The sequence below is a fragment of the Homo sapiens genome, chromosome 6 (assembly GCF_000001405.40).
Source record: "Homo sapiens chromosome 6, GRCh38.p14 Primary Assembly".
In the NCBI taxonomy this organism is placed as follows: Eukaryota; Metazoa; Chordata; class Mammalia; order Primates; family Hominidae; genus Homo; species Homo sapiens.
Window position 1 is genome coordinate 168,935,745 of NC_000006.12, and position 24,133 is coordinate 168,959,877.

General features: G+C 41.8%; 1 long non-coding RNA gene across 1 annotated transcript in view, besides 1 other annotated feature; it reads right to left on the reverse strand.

Moving 5' to 3' along the window:
• The window catches only part of LOC105378146 (uncharacterized), a 36,642-nt gene that overhangs the window by 8,004 nt on the left and 4,505 nt on the right, over positions 1-24,133 (reverse strand). The window contains exons 2-3 of the long non-coding RNA NR_136250.1: positions 21,996-22,115; positions 17,357-17,495 (exon numbers count right to left, since the gene is read on the reverse strand). This is a non-coding gene — a long non-coding RNA (uncharacterized LOC105378146). The remainder of the gene's footprint in view (positions 1-17,356; positions 17,496-21,995; positions 22,116-24,133) is intronic.
• Positions 14,727-15,231: an enhancer, noted in NCBI's record as "H3K4me1 hESC enhancer chr6:169350566-169351070 (GRCh37/hg19 assembly coordinates)". NCBI's record gives its function as "activates a minimal SCP1, AML or CMV promoter by ChIP-STARR-seq in primed H9 embryonic stem cells {active_cell/tissue: H9 hESC(primed)}" and the evidence as "EXISTENCE:reporter gene assay evidence [ECO:0000049][PMID:30033119]".

Sequence of the window (24,133 nt, forward strand, 5' to 3'; positions counted from 1 at the left end):
CGCGTGGCCACGGATGAAGTGTCAGGCGTCCCTGTTAGTCCAAGGGGGCTGCAGGGTGGTGTCTGATGTGTGGTGGGTTTGCCTCCCTCCTGCTCCAGGCCCTGCCGCGGTGTGGTCTCAGCTCAGCATCGCTGCTGCCCTCTGAGCCTGGCTGGTCCTCAATTAGGAACAGCAAGATCTGGCTGTCGGCAGAGCATTTCCTCTTTCTGAAAATCCAGGGTTTTCACAGACTCAGACACCACAGTTTCTGCCTCAAATTCAGGCAAATTGGTTTGGCAGAAAAAACATATAAAATGTAAATTTGCATTCTTTCTTTATAGTATTTTCTCTTTGTTTCAGATAGGAATAGAAGCCCTTTGTGATTTATTGATTTAGAGGGTTTTTTTTGTTTTTTGTTTGTTTTCAAGACAGAAAATAACTTGTGGTTTCAGCCTAAGACTAGGCCTGGTAAAGAGTTTATGCTCATGACTTAGAGGCAGAGGGAAGGGAAGAAGATGGTGCCAAGGAAGGAGAAAGGAAGAGGAAATCTTCCTGTAGATGAAAATGAAGAGAGGTCGGTGATCCTGTGAGTGGGCGACTGGAAATTTCTTGAGGGCAGGGATTATGTCTAATTCATTTTGCCCCCAAATAGCTAAAGAAATAACCAAACAGAGTAAGTGTCCAATGAATATGTATTAATGCAAACATTTATGAAATGAAGAAGGAAAGAAACAGGATATAGATGAACCCAGATTCATTAAAAAGTGTGTGATCCTGTAATGAGGCAGGTCCTGATAAAAACTGAATAACAAAGGAAAAAGTATTCCAACACCAAAGTAAAATCTGCAGTTAGAAGCTAGGAACAGAAACAGGGCCAATGCTTAGCTGCCTTCTTGGGCTTATCTTCTTTAGTGTAGATGGTTTGGAGGTCTTGGACAGGTTCCTGGGAACCACAGTAATCTTGCACCAGCTCTCACACGTGCGATTTGCGAGGGGGTCTGTGCCTGCACTGCTTTTTAATTTCAAGCTCATATTTTTCAAAAGTATCTACTATTATTTATCTGGCTCTGTGTCTCTCCACTTTTTTCAGAGCCTTTGCAGTGTTTATGTCTTAACATGTTTGAACAGTTTTTATCCATGTATTTGACACAGTGGCTGATGCACCCTTCGTTTGATGCAGCAAACGTCACAGTGTTCCAGACGTTTAAAAAGACGTAAGGAATTTCAATCAGGGCATTGCTTTAATAGAAATCATACATGTAGTGATGTTGAGGGATCAGAAGTTTGGGAAGAACGTGATTTCTCTCCGGAAAAGTCATCTCCGGAGTCCTAAGACCTGCAGTATAGCGTGGAGATAGGGTCCAGGCTCTCAGTGTCATTTTCGTTTCTCACCCCCTCAGCCCTTAGAGAGCTGAGCCTGAGCAAGTCGGGAGGGGCTCTTTGGAAGGATTGGGAAACTTCAGTTTAAATAATCCTGTAATTAAATCATGACTCACTGCATGCCTACTGCATGCCTGGCAGTACAGATGCATTCCACATCCAGTATCCGAGACACCCTCTCTGTGGGCACCTCACTCATTCCCCAGCAGTGGGGCCGGCCACCTGAGCAGCTGGCCTCCGGCAGGGCCAGGACTGAAGAGATGTCTGAAGTTAAATGCTGGAAGGTCCAATTTGCTCAAATCATTGAAAGAACTTAACACGGATGTCTACCAGATTGCAACAATGTTGGTTACTACAGTACAGTGACTTATTTAAGATAAAGTGGAGCTGGGCACGGTGGCTCACGCCTGTAATCTCAGCACTTTGGGAGGCCGAGGCAGGTGGATCACATGAGGTCAGGAGTTCTAGACCAGCCTGCCCAACATGGTGAAACCCCGTCTCTACTAAAAATACAAAAATTACCCAGGCGTGGAGGCCTGCGCCTGTAGTCTCAGCTATTGGGGAGGCTGAGGCAGAAGAATTGCTTCAAAATGGGAGGCAGAGGTTGCAGTGAGCCGACGTCGCGCCACTGTGCTCCAGCCTGGGCAACAGAGCAAGACTCTCTCAAAAACAGAAACAAAAAAGATAAAATGGTACCTCAACATCTTGATAATAAGGCCGAACACTTCTTTACAAGTTTATTTATTCTTTTTTTTTTTTTTTTTTTTTTTTTTTTTACTTTAAGATGACAGAGCCTGGCTTTGTCGCCCGGGCTAGAATGCAGTGGCGCAATCACAGCTCACTGTAGCCTCAACCTCCTGGACTCAAGCTATCCACCTGACTCCGCCTCCCAAAGTGCTGGGATTACAGGCGTGACCCACTGCGCCCGGCCCACTTACTCTGAAAATATTTTTTTGCTTACATTAATTTCCTCTTTAAAAACTCAGGTTAGCAAGGAAATTAAGGATTCTGCATTTTTACAAGTGCTCCAGGTAATTCTGATTCTCAGTTCCGAATTAAGATCTTCTGGATTGCAGTAAAAGGAAACATCTGTTCAGAACATAAGAAATGCTTCTCTAAGGTAGACTTTGTTACTTCCTTTTTGCACACAGGAAAATTGAAGCTCAGTAATAAACTAAGTTGTCTGATGCACAGTTAGTCAGTGGCAGGGCTGTGCTTTACACCAGGTCTGTCTGACTCAGGAGCTGATATTATTCCCAACATACACTAAATATTTTCTAAAAGAAAGCCCGTAACTTAAGATCCTTTGCATCCACTAAACAGAATATAAAGCCAAGCTTTATATTTTAAAAAGTCTGGATTTTAAAATAGATTATTTTATAAGCCAACTGGTTAAAAAGTTCTGATGTAACTGCATGAAAATTCTAACATATCTTGTCATCTTATGATTCGATAATATCTGGTTTGTTGGAGGAAAAGAGAAAATCCATAATTGGCTGTTGAGAAACTCGAGATGGGACTTGTACTCATGAAAGCTGAGGATCAGGAGGGCTTATGCCCACAGCCGCTGGGCCCCAGGATGCTGGACACGTTCACCCATGACGCGGGATGGGTTCACTTCTTTGTTAATAAATCCATCACACGAAAACAGCTGTCTCACCTCCGCTGTAAGAGAGGGTCAGCAAAGGCGCAGCTGTGGGAGAGTGTCACAAACTAGTGTTCAGATGCCAGGGGCCCAAGACACAGAGCCACATTTCACTCGGGTGTGATTTGCCCAGCGAAGAGTTAAACGTATGTTCCCTACTGAGAAACAGGAGGCTATTTCTCACTTGGTAAATGTCAACATGACCTGAGTGGACAGCATTATTCTCTCTCTCCTGTCCAGAGCTTGCAGAGAGTTTGACCGTCCTCCAGAAGAGTTAAGTGACCTGGCATTAAAATGACCTTTTATAGGTTCAAGGCAAAATCAATCAATCCTGAGAAGCCATTCTAACCTCTCATCCTGCTGGTAGTTTTCCTTTCATTCTGAATTCCCATGTAACTGACAGAGTTACAGCAAAGGAGGTGGAGACCCAGCCATCAGTGGGAGCCGTTCACTGCTGAGTGCCAGGGTCTTTGGCCAGCAGCTCTTCCTTGCCTGGTGCCCAGCTGCAGCTGGCAACATCTGTGACTGACCCTAGGGATCCTTGCCTGGTGCCTGGTACAGCTGGCAGCCTCTGCGAGTGACCCTGAGGATGAAGCACCCAGCGGTGGTGAAGGAAGGTCTGTTAATGAGCAGAATGTGGAGAGACCAGCAGGAAGAGAAGCAGAGGTGGCAACAACGCTTTCCACACTTTCTTGCCTCGTGGTCTCATTTTTCTCTCTGCCCTTTATCCCAGGAGAGTGTTCTCCACTATTTACAAATAAACTCGGGGCTCCTGTCCTTGTTTAGCTTTAACCAAAAGTCTTGGTGGATTCAGACTTTCACCCATTTCATTCAGGAGAAGCCCAAGATTTCATTAAAACTGGGGTTTTACAAACTTCCAGTGACAAAGCCTAAATCGTCATCAGTGCTGATGGGTTGGATCCTCTCATGGGGCGTCTGATCCATGTTTACCAGGTGCCTGCTATGTCCTCTCCACCAGGCGTGCAGCTCTGCAAAGAAGAAAAACCCGGCTCGTGCTGTCAGGGAGTGTGGGAAAGCCATGGAAAAGTTCTCCTGAAAAGTAAACGCACGCAGCATTCGGAGACGACTATTAATAAATAAAACGCGTGAACTGCTTTTCATGTGTGAGGTGACTGTTGTCACTCATGTTGGTCCTCTGCAGTGCAGTCCTAGCCTGTTTTGACCCCATTCCTATAAACACCGCAGGAAGGCACTACTTAGCTTGGTATTTGTGCCACTTAAACATGTTCCCGTTAAGCACATATTTGTGGTAATTGGGCATAATCCACTTAGTCTTGGTTTCTCATGAAAAATGTGTGGAAGGATTCTGTGCCCCAAGCCTTGATGGGTCATGCACAGTGGAATCGGAACTGTATCCAATGCACCCACACGCACAGTGGAATCGGAACTGTATCCAATGCACCCACGTGCACAGTGGAATCGGAACTGTATCCAATGCACCCACGTGCACAGTGGAATCGGAACTGTATCCAATGCACCCAGAGGCACAGTGGAATCAGAACTGTATCCAATGCACGCACCCTGCTTAATACCCACCTATGACATGTCCATCTCAATGGTGTCCAATGCACCCACCCTGTTTAATACCCACCTATGCTGTGCCCATCTCAATGACACATACCCGTGTCAGAAAGTAGCTGTAAAAGCATGTGTCTGGTATTTACGGTTTGGGCTGCTTTGCCTGCTGTTTCTCTTACCAGAAATGACAGAACATCCTTGGCGATGGCTCCTGCACACTTTCCAAGTGTGGTGTTGAAGGAGCAGCTTTTTAATCAGTTTCATGATGGGGAACCTTTTCTTCTCTGCAGTTTTCCCTGAAGAAGGTGGCTCTGTGCTGTTCTGGTTTTCTCTGTCTCGGTCTCTATCCCTTTTTGAGTTGCCTTTGCAGGTTTGTTATATATTTGTGGTTATAGAAATGCAACTTAAACCCCACTGGATGAGAAGACACACTTTGTATTTGGAGTTGAAGCTCTGGGCAGATCCTACTGGGCATAACAGGGATGCCCTGACACTTCCTGTGGCTGCCATTGGTGACACGTCCTGCCCTCCACTGGATAACATCATGCTGGGGTCATGGTTCTCATCCATGGTCAAGAGACCGTGTGCCTTACACACTGCTCCTCTGAGAGCCACTGAAGAGGGTGGAGGAAGGGACAGCAAGGAGAGAGGGAAGCAAAGTACTGGATCTGTTTTTATACATTGGGCTTCCATTTGTGTTTGAAGTAAGGATTCTATAACACACACACACACATACACACAATTATAAAATCACAGCATCAGGATAACCCAGGATGCCTCATTAACCTGTGAATAAAGAGACAGGGTCAGGCTAACAATAAAAGCCCAGATTGTACGGGAGTTGAAGACATCTTGGCCCTCTGCAAGATGACTCTCTCACACAGACTTGGAAACAGTTTGAGCCAACTAGCTATGGAGCCATAACTCCTATCTGCACTGGCACAATTCCCCAGATTCCAGAGCAGAAGGCTGCCTGGCTGGACGTGAGAGTGGAGACCTCCCTTGCCTCCCTCATCTCTCTGGGTCAGGCACTATCAGAGGAAACCAAGGCTGTACACTTGTGCCTGGATGGCCTCTCAAGTGTTGGTGCCATTGGAGAAGCAGAAGCACACATTTTACAGAGTTTGGAGGAACAGGGACTACAGAGCCCCCGTATTGAGCTTAGAACTAAATTGATATTTATCAAAAGGCTTCCCTTAGGGGCTGGAGTACATTTTAAAATCCCTTTTTTCTATGCAGTTTAAAATATAACGCAGTCCCTTAAATGCCCTCCGTTATTCCTCACTATGTATGCCACTGCGGGGCTGCCCGGTGCACAGGGTCTGCGGTGTGCAGTCAGCCCTCCTGTGATGGAAGGTGATGGGAACACCAGGTACACGGGGTCAGGTGTGCAGTCAGCCCTCCTGTGATGGAAGGTGGTGGGAACACCAGGTACACGGGGTCAGGTGTGCACTCAGCCCTCCTGTGATGGAAGGTGGTGGGAACACCAGGTACACGGGGTCTGGGGTGTGCAGTCAGCTCTCTTGTGATGGAGTGTGGTGGGAACACCAGGTGCACAGGGTCTGGGGTGTGCACTCAGCCCTCCTGTGATGGAAGGTGGTGGGAACACCAGGTACACGGGGTCAGGTGTCCCATCAGCCCTCCTGTGATGGAAGGTGGTGGGAACACCAGGTACACGGGGTCAGGTGTGCCGTCAGCCCTCCTGTGATGGAAGGTGGTGGGAACACCAGGTACACGGGGTCAGGTGTGCCGTCAGCCCTCCTGTGATGGAAGGTGGTGGGAACACCAGGTACACGGGGTCAGGTGTGCAGTCAGCCCTCCTGTGATGGAAGGTGGTGGGAACACCAGGTACACGGGGTCAGGTGTCCCATCAGCCCTCCTGTGATGGAAGGTGGTGGGAACACCAGGTACACGGGGTCAGGTGTGCAGTCAGCCCTCCTGTGATGGAAGGTGGTGGGAACACCAGGTACACGGGGTCAGGTGTGCAGTCAGCCCTCCTGTGATGGAAGGTGGTGGGAACACCAGGTACACGGGGTCAGGTGTGCAGTCAGCTCTCCTGTGATGGAAGGTGGTGGGAACACCAGGTACACGGGGTCTGGGGTGTGCAGTCAGCCCTCCTGTGATGGAAGGTGGTGGGAACACCAGGTGCACGGGGTCAGGTGTGCAGTCAGCCCTCCTGTGGTGGATGGGGGATGGTGGGAACACCCAAGGTGCAGACTGCCTCGTGTGGTTCCTGAAGTCATGTCTTTTCCTCCCAGTCCCCGATTCTTGGCTGTGTGTACTGTCAAGGAGGCAGTGCCTTCTGCTGGCCAAGGGGTCTGGAGTGCATGTTCCTCCTGCTCACTCAGTCGTCCCTCAGCTCTTGTAGCTCTGCACCCCACGGTCTCCATCTGACACCTTGTCCCTTAGAGAAACCCTGCACCATGCTGTGTGCCGGCTGGCCTCCCTGTGGGTCAGATTCATGGCCCTGGGGACCAGAGGAGTGGGCCTCCCGCCAGTAGCACTAAGGCCACGTGGACGCACAGAGGCTCCTAAGCGATGCCTGAGGCTCCTCCCGCTGGCTGAGACATGCCGCCCTGTGACCTAGGCCGGGAAGGCCAAGACACCCCAGCAGCCCAGGCACCGCCCACCAGTTCCTCGCTTTCCTTCGGCTCACAGGCATGTCCATCCTCTCCAGGAACACACCTGAGCTCTGTGCCTGGCGGTCTCACTCTTCCTCCTCCCATTCATTGTGACAAAAGTGTAAAGATCTGTATTCCAGGCGCAGTAGTACGTGCTGTGGCCATGGTTTCCCCCACGATTTTGAGAAAGTTACTGTTGTTTTCTTCATTATGCAGAAGAAGCTGAGATTCAGAGAAGTGAAGTGGGCTGCTTAAGACCTCAGACGTAGGGACTGATGGGACTGGACACAGCATGCTGTTCACCATGACTGTCCTGCACCCTTCAGACCTCAGGAGAACCCAAGGAGGCAGGTGCGGCTCTTAAGCACGTGCTGCTGACAGGGACACCGAGCCACAGAGGAACAAAGTCACCCACGGGACAGCAACAGACTGGGAGGCATCGGGTGAACCCAGCAGGGCAGCTCCTGAATCTGCCCCTAAACTAGGGGCTGGCGCCTGTGGTCATTGCCGCCCACCCCACAAATGTTTCGGTCAATAGTTTTACTGGCACACAGCCACAGGCATTCACTCCACATAGACATTGTCTGTAGCTGCTTGCAAAGCTGTAGCCGCTGAGTTGAATAATTGCAAGCAAGACCGCAAAGCCTAAAATACATATTTTGGTCCTTTAAAGGAAAAGTGTGCTGACCCCTGGTCCAAAGCACCAGACTGTACTGCTCCCGATATGCAGCAGGCCTTGACTGAGGACAGAGTATTTGTATCTACACTGTGGAAGGATATCTGAGGTCCTCTTGAAAAGCTCAATGTCCTACTGAGCATGGGCAGCAACACCTTCACTGAGGGGTGAGAGCTGGAGTGGTGACTGAACCTCTGGGGTGACGGCAGAGGCTGTCTGAGCTGTATATCCAGATGCACAGTTTTAACACCTGCAAGAATGCAATCTGCATCACAGCTGCCCAGGCCTGGGTCCTGCTGCACTTCCACTTCCACGAGAGACATGCAGGGGCCAGCTGGGGCTGGACAAGGGGAGATGGGTGGATGACAGACAGTGCTCTCCACTGACAGTCCTCTACCCCTGACCACCTAGACCCACTGACTGGCAGTTATCACTCCTGCTTTTATTTCCTTTGGGATAAGTTCTTTCCCAGGAGGCTCCTAGATTCTTTTTCAAACAAGATTTTAGCAGGCGCCTCCCATCAATCTTTCAGATACATTTGGATGTGTATGAGCCCAGCTGAGGCTTGAGTGAAGACGGCCACTACCCTGCACGTCCTAGCACCAGAGACTTATGTCAGAGCTCCTTGAAGATTCCTAGCACCCAGAGTGCTCCTAAACTAACGGTATTCCCTGGTTTCTAACAGAAGCAAATGCAAATCCTCTCTGAAGAAGAGCATTTCTTTGGCCCATTTTGTATGTCTGTGTAGCAGGGCGAACCACAAAGAAGCTAACGATTAAAAATTACCAGAAAAACCTGAAAGAGTGGCACCAGGAATGAGAGTCACAGAAAGCAAACCAAAAATGAGCCCAAGGAAAGAGAATATTAAAAATAACCAGACATAATTAGAATAGATAACTTTTAGAAATAAAAAAAATCAGTGAATTAAAAACTCAATAGTTGTTAAAATGAATGACGAGAGAAGTAAAATAGAAGATTTCTCTGAAGAAATTACACAGAGATACCCAGAAATATAATGAGATGGTAAATATAAAAGAGGTTAAGATATATAAAAAGTCAATTGAAAAACTCTAGCTTAAGTTTAAGCTGTGCCACAGATGAAAGAGTAAAGGGAATGGCATGAAAGCCATATTATGGAAGAACTAATACTAAGAAAATAAAAAAATCCACACTTATGCATATTCTAATAAAACTTCAGAACAGCAAAAACAAAGAGAAGATCTTAAATGCAGCTACAGAGACATGAGAAACATCTCTAATGAAATAATTCAACTGCCTGAAGATTAGTGAACAGAAACAATGAGAATTAGGAGACAGAAGAATAACCTTTTCCAAGCACTGTAAGAAAAGAAGTACCAACTGAAGATGGTGTACCTAGCAAAATTAGCTTCAAGAATTATAGCAATATAAAGACATTTTAGATAACAAAAAACTGAGTCACCTATAGGGAGAACATTATTATTAAATATAGTGCTAAATGATTATTTTGAAGGATTTCAGTAAGGAGAAAATAATCCTACAAACAAGTAAGAGAAAAGAGAGTGATAATTATGTGACTAAATGTAAACAACCATAATGATATAAATAATAATAAAATAATATATCTTGGGATTTTAAAAGATATGCAACTAAAATACAAGGAAACAATTGCAAATAAATTGGAAGAATGGTTAGTGAAATGAAAATTTCCTAATGCCAAAGTCTAGTCTTCCTCTTGAAAAGGTTTAAGTTATAGATTTCTTTTCTTGTATTTTCTTTGGTGGTTTTGGTATCAGGATAATTCTGAGCTTATAAAATAAGTTGAAAAGTTTTCCCCTCTTTATTTTCTGGAAGAGGTTGTATAAAATTGCTGTTAGCTCTTCTTTAAATGTCTGTTAGAATCCTCCAGTGAAATCATGTGGGCCTGAAAATCTCTTTTTGGGAGATTTTTAGTTAGGCTTCGATGTCTTTAATGTTTATAAAACTCTTCCAATTATCTATTTCATCTTGGTTGAGATTTTTCAGTTTGTGATTTTCAAGGAATTGGTTTATTTCTTCCAAGTGTCAAATTTATGAACATAAATTGGTTGTTGCAGTCCTTTATTTTATTTAGATCATGGTAGGATCTGTAGTGATATCACTTATTTCACTCCTGATATTTCTGGTTTGTATCTTCTCTTTTTTCTTTTGTCAGTATTGCTAGAGTCTATTAACTTTGTTGATTTTTTTTTTGAAGAAACAGCTTTAGGTTTTGTTAATTTTTTCTATTAAATTTCTATTTCAGTTTCACAGATTTTGCTCCCTATTATTTCCTTCTATCTACTTGATTTTAGTTTATTTTGTTCTACTTTTCTACTTTTTTGAGGCACTCACTTAGATAATTGATTTGAGACCGTTACTGTTTTGTAGTATAAGCAATTCATGTTATAGATTTCCCTCTTAGCACTGCTTTAGCTGCTGCACATATTTTGAAATGCTGTGTTTTCATTTTCATTCTATTCTATGTGTTTCTTAAACTTTTGGAGACTTTTTCTTGACACGTGGATTATTTAAAAGTCTGTTGCTTAATTTCCTTATGTTTAAATATTTTCCTGTTGATTTTTAGTGATTGATTTCTAGTTCGCTTTCATTATGTCAGATAATAGACTATATGACTACAATTTTTAAATGTATTGAAGTTTGTTTTATGTCTCAGGATGTGGTCTATCTTAGTGAATGTTCCGTGGACACCTGTAAACATGTATATCCTGCTGTTGTCATAGGCAATGTATTGCTTATGTCAATTAGATACTGTTAATTGACTGTGTTATTCAGATCCTATATATCCTGGCTGTTTTTCTGCTTATTTTTCAGTTGCTGAGAGAGAGGTATTAAAATCTACAACCATAATGTTTGATTGGTCTATTTCTCCTTTCAGTTGTTGATTCATGTATTTTAAGGTGCTGTTGTTTGGTGCATATACATTTAGAATTATTATAACTTCCTGGTAGATTTATCTTTTTATCATTTTTGTACTGTCCCTCTTTGTCTCTAGTAATTTCCTTTGCTCTGAAGTCGACTTTATTAGATATTAATAGAGTCACTTCTGATTTTTAGATTAATGCTGCATGGTCTGTCTTTGTTCATCCTCCTCCTTTCAAACGAGCCATATAATTGAATGTGAAGTGAGTTTCTAATAAGGTGCATATAGGTGAGTGGTATTTTCTTTATTTACTCTGCCAATCTGTGTATTTTGATTGATGTATTTAGGCCATTTTCATTTTATATAATTATTGATATATTAGGGCTTATCTCTGTTTCTGCGAGCAACAATTTTCTTTCTACTTTTCTTTCATCTGAGTATGTCTTTATTTGGAGTTGAAAGTTCTTTTCATTCAGCAGTTAAATGGTATGGGAAAAACAAGAAAAAAATATTGGGCTGCTTCTTTCTGGCTTTCATTATTTCAGGTGATAAATCCTTTATATTTTAACTGCTGTTCACCTATAGGTAATGGGTTTCTTTCTGGCCAATTTCAAGATGTTTTTTCTTTGTTTTCATTACCTACAGGTGTGTGTTGCGCTGTGGGATTCAGCTCGAATCGTCCTTCCCCCGTTAGTTGTGCACACATTAACTCAGCTAATCTGTGCAATGAGAAAAGCATGTCTAAATACGACTAAAGTTTTCAAAACCACCACGGCATGGAAAGTCAGTGATCCACAGATTAGAACAACATTCCATTGTAAAGCATCTCTAAGGAAAAGCATCCAAGATAAAAAGATAACAGCCTGAGAAAATGTTTGTAATAATGATGTTTATCACTTGCACATCTACCTGGGCTTGGTTCTGCCATTGGTTGAGGGTCTGGAAATGACGCCTCTGGGTCTCCTTCTTGTATGGGTAGGGGTATATCAGATGCCCTGCCACTGTGCTCATGTTTTCCTCTTTTTTAGTCCTTAGGTACCAAACCATTTTCACCTTTATCCAGCCACCATTCAGAGTTCTCCTTTGGTTGTTTCTTGCAGTATTTTCAGAGTTTCTAGTCATAGTTATTGGTGTGAGCAGGAAGAAACAGGTCTATATCAGCTTGAACAGGTCAGAAATTCTGCTAAAGCTATAGTCTCACAGAATGTCAGGGTTTATTTTAGCAAAACAAAAAATAGTGTATAAATCCTAATTGAGTGTACTGAAGGGAAAGAAGAAGAATTAAGAATAAAAATAATATCAAAGATTTATGTAGAGCTGACGTTGTGCTGGGCATACACACTTACACATATGCATATGTGCTCTGTGACTGTAGGAATCTAGGTTCTGTCTTGCTGAGTATTCCTAAATTAATATATTGAGACTTAACCTCTTTCTTGAACTTCAGGCTTGTATCAGCTTGCTTCATTAAAGTCTCTATTTTGCTACGTGAACACCTCAAACTCAACATGTCCAAACCACTTTCCATCTTCCCTGCACGCTAGTTCCTCCTGCAGATCCCTCACATTTGTTAGTGATGACTTCTCCCTTCCAGCCACTCCAGTCAGAGATCCTGGAGTCGCCTTTTGATGCCTCTCCTTATCTCATTACTCAGATCCAATCATTGGCAAGTCCAGTTGGTGCTACCGTCAGAGCATATCAAGAATCTAACCTCTCCTTTGCATTATTCCAGCTAGCCATCTTCTTAGGCTGTTGTCCCTCTCATTTGATGATGGTAGCAGCCTCCTAATATGATCCTGCTTCACCGGTTTCTCTCTTCTGCCCTTTTCAACACATCAGCCAGAAGGACCTTGTTAAGTCTGAGTCGGATGCAGTCCCTCTCCTGACTGTGTCTCCTACGGCTTCCCACTCCATCAGGGTGAAATCTCTTGCAGGGTTTTCAAGATCTCGTGTAATACATCCCACAACCTCTCCTTCTCTATCTAATGCTGGCCGTGTCCTGTCCGCCAGTCTCAGAGAGCTCTCCGTTCTTCCCCACTGCTACGTGCCAGGAGGCTGAACCTCATGACCTTTAGGTGCAGGCTCCTTGCTTTCCGTTTTCAGCTGGCTTTAGAACTGGAAACACCAGGAGGAAGTCAGGATGTGGGAGAAGGGTGAAGCTGGGGAAGTCTCTCTTTCTCCCTTCTCCTCGGCCAGGTGTTGGCAAGGGTTGCTCTTCTTTGTGTCCACAGATCCTGTCCAGTGGGCTCCCTACAGCCCAGGCAGGCTCTTGCGGGGCTCCATGGTTATACCTCGCCTTGCTTCAGGCCAAGGGTTTGGAATGGTTTGCTTAACTGATCACACCTCCATACTTCTCTTTTGAATGTGCCATCTGCTTCCTGCTAGGGCACTTATTTTCTTGCTATGCACCTGCCTGTTGTTGTTTTCGTGGCCTGGCCAGGTGGTCCTCCTTCCTATCACTTTAACAACAAGCATGAATTTGAAGTTGCCATCATTTCTACCTAGAATGTGCTTCCAGATATCCATGTGCATCACTCTCCAGGCTTCCTAAACAGAAGGATCGAGTGTTGTGGGTAGTGACTAACTGGGGGCAGTGGTGCATACAGTAAAGGGATTTACAAAGGCAGTTTACCTTTACCTACAAGGTAAAGGAAGGTGGATTTGTTAAAGAAAGTATGAAAATATGTTGCAAGGATGCAATGGGTAGATCAGCAAGAAAGGAGCTGAGTTCCAGGAGACAAAAGCTTGCTGGGTATTTTACAGGATGGTGCTTGTGCTGGAGAGGAATACGTGCAGTACTGGTAACACTAAGATTGCAGTGAGCGAACCTGCATTTTTCTGTCAGCTGAGGTGTCTGCTGGTAAGTCAGGCATAGGGAGATTGTGTGTTAGATGGGCTATTTGCGCAGGAGGGCTGTGTGTCCTGGACCATGAAGAAAGGCAGATTTGTAGTTTATCTGCTTTGTCTTTTTGCTTTCCCTGCTCCCCCTAGCCTGGCTCCTTTTCCTAATCAGGACCCCACACCAGATCACACCCTCACTCCCAAGTCTGGTCATTTTCTTTAAAGTTAGAATATATCCACTTCCCACCGCAATGCTCTGGGTTCCCTTTATCCTGGCTTACGTCACATAGAAAAGCGTAATTTATAACTTAACAAAAGTGAGTAGCTAACGAAGAAAGCAGATCATACATGACACCATAAACTGTAAACAATAAAAGCTGAATTGGTAAAGATCTTCTAACTGGAAAGCCCCATACCGAGATGGTGTTAAATGCATCGTTTCTATAAATGCTCATGGTATTTTTATAAGGTGGACACTATTATTTCATCTTAGAAATCAGCAAAGAGAGGCTTTGAGAAAGGAACTAAATTGCCCAAGATCAAACAGCCAGTAATGTCAGGGCAGGGATTAGAAAACTTTAACAATTATAAAATTTCATGAAACATGAAAATAAGGAATACATCCCTTCAAAGCAGCTATGAGATGTATGTATTAGAGCAAAGGAGCAGTGAAAGTTACTGCATATTTCTTGGCACTTAGTCCATGGATTGCTTTCAGTGTTATGATTCCTCTGAGTCACAGAACCTGACAATTGTGAGCACTGTTACTGCCCTAATTCCTGCAGCCTCAGCTGTGAAACTTTCAGTATTTTTCTTTTGTTTGTTGAGCCAGTTATTAAAAAAATGAACTACAACAGCTAATTCTTTCTGTTTATCTAAATGCTTGTCAAAATGCCTAAGCAGTGATTTGCCAGGTTTGGGAGTTATACGTGCTTATACATTTCAAATAAACTGTGGCAGCGGCCTTAGCTTTTGTGGCTCCAGCAGGCGTAAGTGAGTGTGTGTGCTTTCTCTCTCCGCATCTGCTGCTTGACATCTTTAATTTATTATTCCTGTTATATAACTTTGTTTTGGCGCTTGAACTTCCATTCCCATGACTTTATGTTGAAAAACAGTTTTAAATCTAGGATTTGCATTTCACCACAGTGATAGAGCCTGGTTATTTATTGTTATTTGCAATATGGCATATAATATGGCAATAATCTATGTCTAGTCAACAGTCAGGAATAACAAAAGATTCATGGCATATTAAAACAAGATTGATGTCCCTCTGCCGAGGGAGGTTATTGCTGGCCTAAGCACAAATGGCCAGAGTGAGTTGCACAGGCTGTGCAGCCCTGGAGGCCGTGGCTCTGGCCTCTCAGCCTTGCTCACACCCAGACCCCTGCACCCTTCTGTGAAGAACCCCTGTGATTTCAATCCTGCAGTGTGAAGTTGCCACGACGGAGCCAGCATCTCTATCCAAGTCTCCTGGGTGATAGAACGCATATGTAGGCCAAACTCTGCAGCACTGATGCAGCTGGTGATGACTAAACATGGCAGATTTACCTAGTCAGTGACTTTATGCAGGAAGAAACCGAATGCATGTGCGCATCTTGAGATGCGTGGGCCTTCTGTCCTGTGTGCAGCTGCGTGTGCTCCCCCACTGGCCCGGCCTGCGCGCTTTTCTGCCCCGGCACTCGCCAGCTGCCCAGTCCAGCTCAAGCCGGGATTTTCCACGGCTGCCTCTGAACGGTCTCCAAGCCGCAGCTTCCTCTCCTCCTTCTGAGCTCCAAGTACCATTGCTATAAGGGGACAGGAGCAGGGTGGGAGATTGTCCTGAGTCTTGACTCTGACTGTGCTGTGTGCAGGGTTATCACCTTTCCACATCCCACTTTCTTCGTCTTTACAGTGGGGAGAGCAACTTTTACCTTTCCCATCCCGAAGCAGGGCTGTGGTGGTAGGAAGATCAAAGAAATTGCTTTAGCTTTTAAAAATAGACAAGAAGCCAACAGTTCTTGGGTGGACGTGTCAGACCTGTTCCCGACAGGACAGATGGCAGCACAGCCAGACCCGCTCAGTGTCCCAAGAGCAGCCCCGGCAAAGCAAGGCGGGAGCCGCCCCTCACCAGCCCAGCTGTGCTCACACACCCCCTCTGCAATGTCGGATGGTTCACAACAGGATTTATCGTTTTCTTTAAAGTCGCCTTGTGGAAACTCTTGTATCCCTTACTCTCTTGTGCTGTTATTGAAGGTTTAATGGGTTCGTTTTGACTCCTCAGATAGACTGTGCTTGATATTTCTTGCAAGCTCAACACGATGGCTGGAACATGTAAGTGTGTGAGTTAAAAACAGTTTGGGCTGCTTTTTAATTAGAACTATTAAAAAAGAATTTTGGTTGCTTTTTAATTGGAGCAATGAAAAATCAAACGATCACCTGCTCAAATCAGAAAATTCTTAGTTTTCCAACTTAGTTTATAATTTCCTTCCTTATATCTTTGGGTTTAATTTGCAGTTCTTTTCCTAGTTTCGGGGGGCAGAAGCTCTGAGCCTTTACTCCAAAACTCTTCCTATTAAATATATGCAACTGAAGCTATACAATTTTCTCTAAGCACTGCTCTAGCTTCGTCCCTCATGTTTTGATACGACACTTTTTATTATTTTTCAATTCAAAACATTTTCAACATCCATCGTGCTCCTATGCGTAACAGCGTGGAAGTGTTTTGTGTGATTATTTCAGTCATCTTTCTGTTGTGTTACAGTGTGATTGTGTTGTGCAGGAAAACATAATTTGTGTGATTTTACTTATCTTTTTATTTTTAATTTGTTGAGATGTGTTTTATGGTCCAGTCTGTTTTGGTAAATGTTCCTTGTTCCCTTGATAAAGAGTTTACACTGCAGTTGTTGGGTGCAGTGTTCTGTATACACCAGTTAGGAACATTTAGTTGTGTCCCTAAAGGCTATTTTTATACTTTTTTTTTTTTTTGGTTTGTTTATTCTCTCAGCTTCTGAAACAGGTGTTAAAATCCTCAACTATGCTTTTGGATATTTCTCTTCTTCTGCTTAGTTAAGTCTTTTTTTTTTCTATACATGTGTAGCAATGTTATTAGGCACGTACACACAATTATGAGTTTTGTATCTTCCTGTTTTTATGAAATGTAGCTTTTATCTTTAGGAATATTTTTGCCTTAATTAAACTCAACTGTCTCGTAGTGCTATAGCTACCTCAGCTGCCTCTTAAACACAATGTGTCCATGACTCCCACTCTATAGACATTTATCTTCAGCCTGCCTGTATGATTTTATCTAAAATGTGCCTCCTGCAAATTTCATATTGTTGGGTTCTCGGTTTTTCATACAGACCATCTTTGTCTTCTGATTAGATTGTTCAGTTTTATACATTTAATTACTAAAATAATTGTGTTTAAGTAAGTCTACCATCCTACTATTCTATTTCTCTTGTCTGTTTTTATTTCTTTGTTCCATTTTTCTTAATTCCTTTCAGATAAATCAAGTATTTTCATGTGCTGATTTTTCTTTTTCATTATATTTTAGTACATTATTTTATTATTCTCTTAGCAGCTACCCTAAGCATCTTTGAGTAGCTAATGTTTAAAGTAGTAATTTTAATATTTCTCTGAAAATACAAGAAGCTTCCAATAGTTAACTCCATTTTGCACTAATATAATATAAAATTTTACTTATGCACACCTTATAAAACTTGCACTACATTTTTACAGTTGTTGTTTTAAACAGTTTTTCTTATTTTCACAGTTTCTGGAGTGTGCTTCATTCCTTCCTGATGATCTCTGCTTACCTGTAGGATCTTCTGGACTTTTCTTTCAGCTCAAGAAACTTCTTTTACTGTTTAATGTCATTCTGTGGCAGGAAATTGATCAACTCTTCTCTGACTTGAAATGTCTTTATTTCATCTTATGTTTAATGAGGTATGATTGCTGTAAAATAAGTTGCATATATTGATGAATACTGATACAGTGACATATTGATTTCCCATGAAAACATGTGTTTCTGTAAGCAAAAGGCTTCCTCATGTTCCTTGGTGTCCATTCCTCCCTCTGTTCCTGTCCTGAGGCAACTGTCAGTTTGATTTCTGCCACTGTAAAATGGTTTTCATTTTCCAGAATTTCATGTAAATGGAGTCTTGCAGTGCATGCTCTTTCTTACTTTTAACCTGGCTGCTTTAATTTCACCTGACAATTTTGGGTGCATCGTCCACTCATTGCGTCCCCCAGTAGTTTGTTCCTTTTTATGGCTGAGTCGTTGCCCGTTGCATGAGCACAGCACAATTTATCTACCCATTTACCTGCTAATAGACATTTATATTATTTTCTATATTATTTAATATATATATTTAATATATTATTTAATATATTATTTTTATATTAAAAATAAAAAATGATATGAGCATTTGTATCCAAAAATTTGGGTCTCAAATGTATTAATTCTAGGAGTAGAATATCTGAGTCATATGGTAGGTGAATGTTTAATGTTTTATAAATTGACCACACTGTTTTCCAAAACGGTTTACATTCTCAGCCGAAGTGTATAAGAGTTGAAATTGCTCTGCATCCTCACCAGCGTTTGCTATGGTCATACTTTTAAATATTAGATATTCTCACACGAGTGCAATGGTATTGCTCTTATGGTTTTAACCTCCTTTTCCCTAAAGACTAGTACTGTTGAGCATCTTTTCCGTTGCTGATTTGCCATTTGTGCATCTTTTCTTCTTGTTGTTGTTGTTGTTGAAATATCCATTAAAATATTTGTCCAACTCAGTCCACAAATGTACTGAGTTGTTTGTTTTCTTACCATTGTGTTATAAATTATTTATATATTCAGAACAAAAGCTCTTTTTCAGATATTTATTTTGCAAATACTTCCTTTCAGTCTATTAAATAATTTTAATGATGTCTTTTGAAGAATAAAAGATTATAATTTTCATTTTTTTAAATTTATAATGTATAATTTCTTGTGTCCTCTTTAAGAAAACTTTGCCAAACAGAAGATCACTAATCTTATGTCCTATTTTTATTCCATAAATGCTATTAACTAATTATTATTGGCATTTATAGAAAATTCCTCCAGACAGCAGCAAAGTATATCTTTAAATTGAAATATTTCCCAAGATAGCTGATAGTCTGTGCCATAGACTAAACCTTAAACATGAAAAAAGAGTAGAAAACAAGCAAAGTATGTTCTGAAACCATAATGAAATTAACTGAAAATAAACAAAAATATATCTGGAAAATCTCTGAATATATGGCAAATAAACAACACACTTCTAAATGAATGATGGGTCAAAACTGAAGTCTTACACTAAACTAAAAATATTTTGAATCAAAAATTAAAATACAATATATCAAAATTATCAGGATGCAGCTAAGCAGTGCTTTGAGGGAAATGTAGAGTACTAAGTGCTTGTAATAGAAATCAGGAAACACCTAAAATCAGTAATATTACAAACATCTCTATGCCCAAAAGGAAACAACTTACATGAAAATTAAAAATGTTTCTACCTGTAATAATGAACATTTGGAATTTGAATTTTAAAAAAAATGTCATTTGCACAACATGGCTGGGCCTGGAGGACATGATTCTATGTGAAATAACCCAGACACAGAAAGAAAACAATTGAATGATCTCACTTATATGTGAGATATTTTTTTAAAAACCCTCAAACACACAGAGACAGAGTGTGTAACAGTGTTTCCATGGGTGGGGGTTGCAAGAGGACATGGGGGGATGTAGGTCAAAGGGATCAAAATATCATAGAAGGTAGGTGGGACAACAGTTCCGGAGACTGGATGCACAACGTGAGGGCCAAACTTCATAAAATTATACCATGTTAAGGATTTTTGTTAAATAAGTAGATTTTAGCTGCCTTTGTCACAAAAAATATGTGAGATAATAGATATGTTAATCTGTTTCACCACTGTAACCATTTTACCATCTATATTTCATAGCATCATGTTGTAAACCTCAAATATACACAATACTATTTAAAAGGCACTAAATCGTACTAAAATAAATGAAGCATTAGGTATAAATATAACAAAATAGGTGCAGCGTCTGTATGCTGAAAACTACAAAACACTGATGAAAGAAGGAAGAAATATCTAAGTAAATGAAGAAATATGCAGTTTCATGGATTTGAGGCTTAATATTTCAAAGATGTCCATTCTCCCATTTTCCCTGATTTGAGCAATGCAATCTCAATAAAATTCCAGCAAGTCTACTTTGTAAATAACAACAAGCTGAATCAAAATTCATGTAGAAAGGCAAAGAAACTATAATAATCACAAAAATTCTGCAAGAAAAACAAAACAAAATTCTGGAAAATGAACAAAACAACAAAAGTAAAGTACTCACATAACTTGATTTTAAGACACTATAACGTGACAGTAAACAATAAAATGTGGCATTGGCACTGGGATAGGCAATCAATGGAACAAAAGTAAGAATAGAGAAATTGACTCAGACATATATTGACAAGTGACTTTTGGCATAGGTACAAGTCATGTTAGGAAAGAAAGAGAATCCTTTCAGTTAATTGTGTTGGAACATTTGATATGCAAATGTCCCAAATAGGACCAATATATACCTTTTCCATATACAAACATTAATTCATAGTGGATTATAGATTTGAATGTAAAATGCAAAACCATACAACTTCTAGAAAAAAAACATAACAGAAAAGCTGCATGGCTTTGGTTTTGGTGGTGAGTTTTAAGATACAGTACCAAAAGCATGCTCAATGAAAGAAGAATTTTTAAAATTTGACTTTAACAAAATTTAAAGTGTTTGCTTTGCAAACGACCTGTAAATATGGTAAAAAAGCAAGCCACAGACTTGGAGCTATTACTTGCAAATTTCATATTTGATAAAGTACTTATATCCAGAATTTTTTCTCTCTCTCCCTATTACCCTCAAGTACTACTAAAGTTAAAGCTTAAAATAAAATTGACAACACCAAATGTCGATAGGCATGTGAAACCACAAGAATTCCCATTGCTGGTGGGAATACAAAAGTAGTATTCTACTTGGACGTCCACACCCCCTGGATCACAGATTGCCCATTTCTTATAAAGATAAACATACAATCATCTCATGGCCCACAAAGTCCTGTCCTAGATGTTTATCTAAGTGAATGGAAAACTGTGTTCACACAAAAAACAATTTGCAGATGTCTATAACAGTTTTATTCATAACACCTCAAACTGGAAACAACCAAGTTGTCCTTCAACACGAGTGGAGAAACAGACTGTGGTGTGTTCACACGACGTAAGGCTACTCAACAGTGAAAGGAGTGAGTAACCGACTCACAGGATGTAGATGAATCTTAACTGCATTTTGGTAAGTGAAAAAGGCAGCACCCAAAGGCTGCATATTACATGTTCCACTTATATAACATCCTGGAGGAGGCAAAAATGTAGGAACGGAAAAGGGGGCAGGGCTTCTAAGGGTTTGGGGATGGGTTGATGAGTGATGGAACTGTTCTGTGTGGTAGTGGGTGGAAGATTTTTGACTGCATTTCTGTGTTGTGGAAAGACATGGAAAAGCTAAAAAGTCAAATTTATCGTATGCAAAGTAAATAAAAACTCAACTAGGATTTGAGGAAATCTCAAACTAGAAGGATGACTGTGACAAATGAATCTAACTGATTACAAATGATGACACAACTCAGAAATGTTGCTCCAGAATCAGAGAAGAGAAGTGTGAATCTGGTGGGGAACTCAGCCGGGCAGGCTGGGAGCTGTCAGGCCAGCCACTTGGTGGTGCCAGAGGACCTCCAATAGAAGCTTGCACATGATTTTACATAATTTACCCAGACAGCAAAGAAGGCTCAGCCACTGCACTCAATCAATACCAGTGAGGACACTGCCACACTTGCTGAACACAACCCTGGAGCACGTCTACAGGTCAACAGCATGACACCGATAAAACTGAAAAATGGAAAAAGCACAGGAGCCCGAGCCTCTACACACAGAACCTGGGCCCCTTTTTGAATTTCATATGACTACACTGTATAATGAGTTTTGACTGTGTCCTGGTCATTGTTTAATTTTTCTCAGAATTTACTTGGAGTTTTACTGGTTGGAGATTTATGGACTGTATGGTAGAGAAAGCAAACATATAAATAAGCATAATTATGCTGGCTCCCAATGTAAAGAATGAATTCATTGTTCTAGTTTTGCTGGAGTTGTCACTGAAGAGCTCTGAAAGAAGCCTTCTGCCTGCTCAGAACCTTGAGGCATCCAGTGGCACCACAGAGCTAAAGCCATCCAAAGCATCTGGCGTAGCTTCCCTGGTAAAGATGTCACACTAGTCTCATGAGTCCACACTCCCTGAGAGCCCTATAAACTCTCACCATGTGAAACTATCACAGGTTCGCCATTATGCAAAGTATTTACCCCAAAATTTCAACTTTATCTTACTTCAGGCAGACATAGAAGAGGTACTTCCAAAGGTTCATGCAGTGTACTTAGGCTCATGGTCAATCAGCGCAGGCTGCCTTTTCTCCATGGCTCCGAAGCAGCTTCCACTAGACCTAAGACCTGGAAATGTTGTCTTATAAGAAAAGATGAAAAGAAAAAACATGCCCTAGATTCACATGGAAGGAAGACCATACTTTGCTTTTGGCCACTAGTCCACAATTAACCTGAGAGTTATGTCACCCAGGTACAACACCTGGTCCCCTGTCCCGTCAGAAACATTTACAGCAAAGATAGTCAGGAATGTACCAGAGCAGATGATGTTCTGGAGAACCCAAATTACGCAGATGAAGACAACTTATTTCAAAAGAAAGAGAAAATTGTGAGAAGTGAAGTTTCCGCCAATACCCACTGCAAGTGTGCCAGATGACTGGCTCTAGAGTGTCATCCTCGAATCTGGGGGCTTTCCTTCCCTGTTTTCCTGGGCATTTTCTTGGCATGTTGCCTACGTATGGTTCTTTTCTGTTAACAGGCACCTGCTGCCTCTCAGCAATGGTGTCTATAATGTTCCTCCCCCTACTATTATGAGCCACTAGCTCATCCCTAGTGGCTTCTTGTCATGAGTCTAATTTCTGGTTTGATATTCTCACAATGGGGCTCATTCTGACAATCAGAATCACTCCTAGGCTTGGTCTCACTGTCTCTGTGCGATAGCCAGACTCTTGGTATCAGTGTCTTGTGACATATACGTTGGTTTTCTGTGTAATTTTACTCAAACATGAAGTGACATTTTGCATGAAACTCTAATATTTGTTTCAAGGCATTCCTATAACTCAGTTTATCAAGACAGTTTGTTTATCTGTGCAAACTTCTCTCTATCAGGACAACATGTTGCTAATCTGAGCAAAAAGTTCATTTACCAAGTAGCAATGTTCTTGTGAAGGCTCACTTCGAAACTCTTGTCTTCTGTCCACAAACCTTACAAGATCACACCACAGGCTTTACCCAATCCTAATCAATTTTCATCTTAAAAGAATCACCGAAACCTACCATTTATTCTAACAAACTTGATAATCCACACTTCATCCTGATAAAAACGTTAATTCAGGAAATTCTTCTGGCACAGACTGGGGTCTCCGTATCTTTCTCCCTCCAATCATGATCCCGGCTCTTCCGGGATCCCATCTCTGTTGGTGAGGAGTCACTGGGGCTCTGGGAGCCCTGGAAAGACTTGGGACTTTAAAAGCTGAAGATTCTTAAGAAGCTACAATGTATATTATTTGTTGTTTTATTTTATTGACTGGTTCTCATAGCATACATATGTATGAAAAACTAGTACTTATCTCTTTTTTATCTTTCTAAGAAGTCTTTGCAAAAAAGAATTATGTGCTGGTTGTGTGTGTCTGTGTGTGTGTGTACACCGGTGTATGTGTGTAATGGGGGAGGTGCTGGTTGTATTATTTGAGAATAAAGAATACAAGGCTTTGAAAAGTCACTTTGCCCAAGGCTACATAGTAAGTTTTTTGGATTTTGTTTGTTTTGTTTTCTTCAAACAGGGTTTCATTCCTGTTGCCCAGGCTGGAGTGCACTGGCGTGATCTCAGCTCACTACAGCCTCTACTTCCTGGGTTCAAGTGGTTCTCCTGCCTCAGCCTCCCAAGTAGCTGGGACTACAAGCACATGCCAGCACACCTAGCTAATTATTTTTTCGTATTTTTAGTGTAGATAGGGTTTTGCCATGTTGCTCAAGCTTGTCTCAAACTCCTGGCCTCAAGTGATCTGACCGCCTTGGCCTCCCAAAGTGCTGGTATTACAGGCGTGAGCCACTGCACCTGGCCTATAGTAAGTTTAACAGCTGGAATTCCAACCTTGTGAAGCATTGATAAGAACTGGAAAAAAAAAAATTCAGAAGAGTAACTTAAACACATATAAAATGCAAATCCCCATGGAAGTGTATTAACTAGACATTACTTACTAGATTTCATTAAATTCCGGTAGATCTAAACATATTGCAATTACATGCACTGATATATTTTTGGAAACTGAATATTTTAATAGCTTTGTTGAAATATAATTAATAAACCGTACATGCCAGTTAGTATAGTCTCAGTGCTGTGCAACCACAACCACAAGGTAATTTTA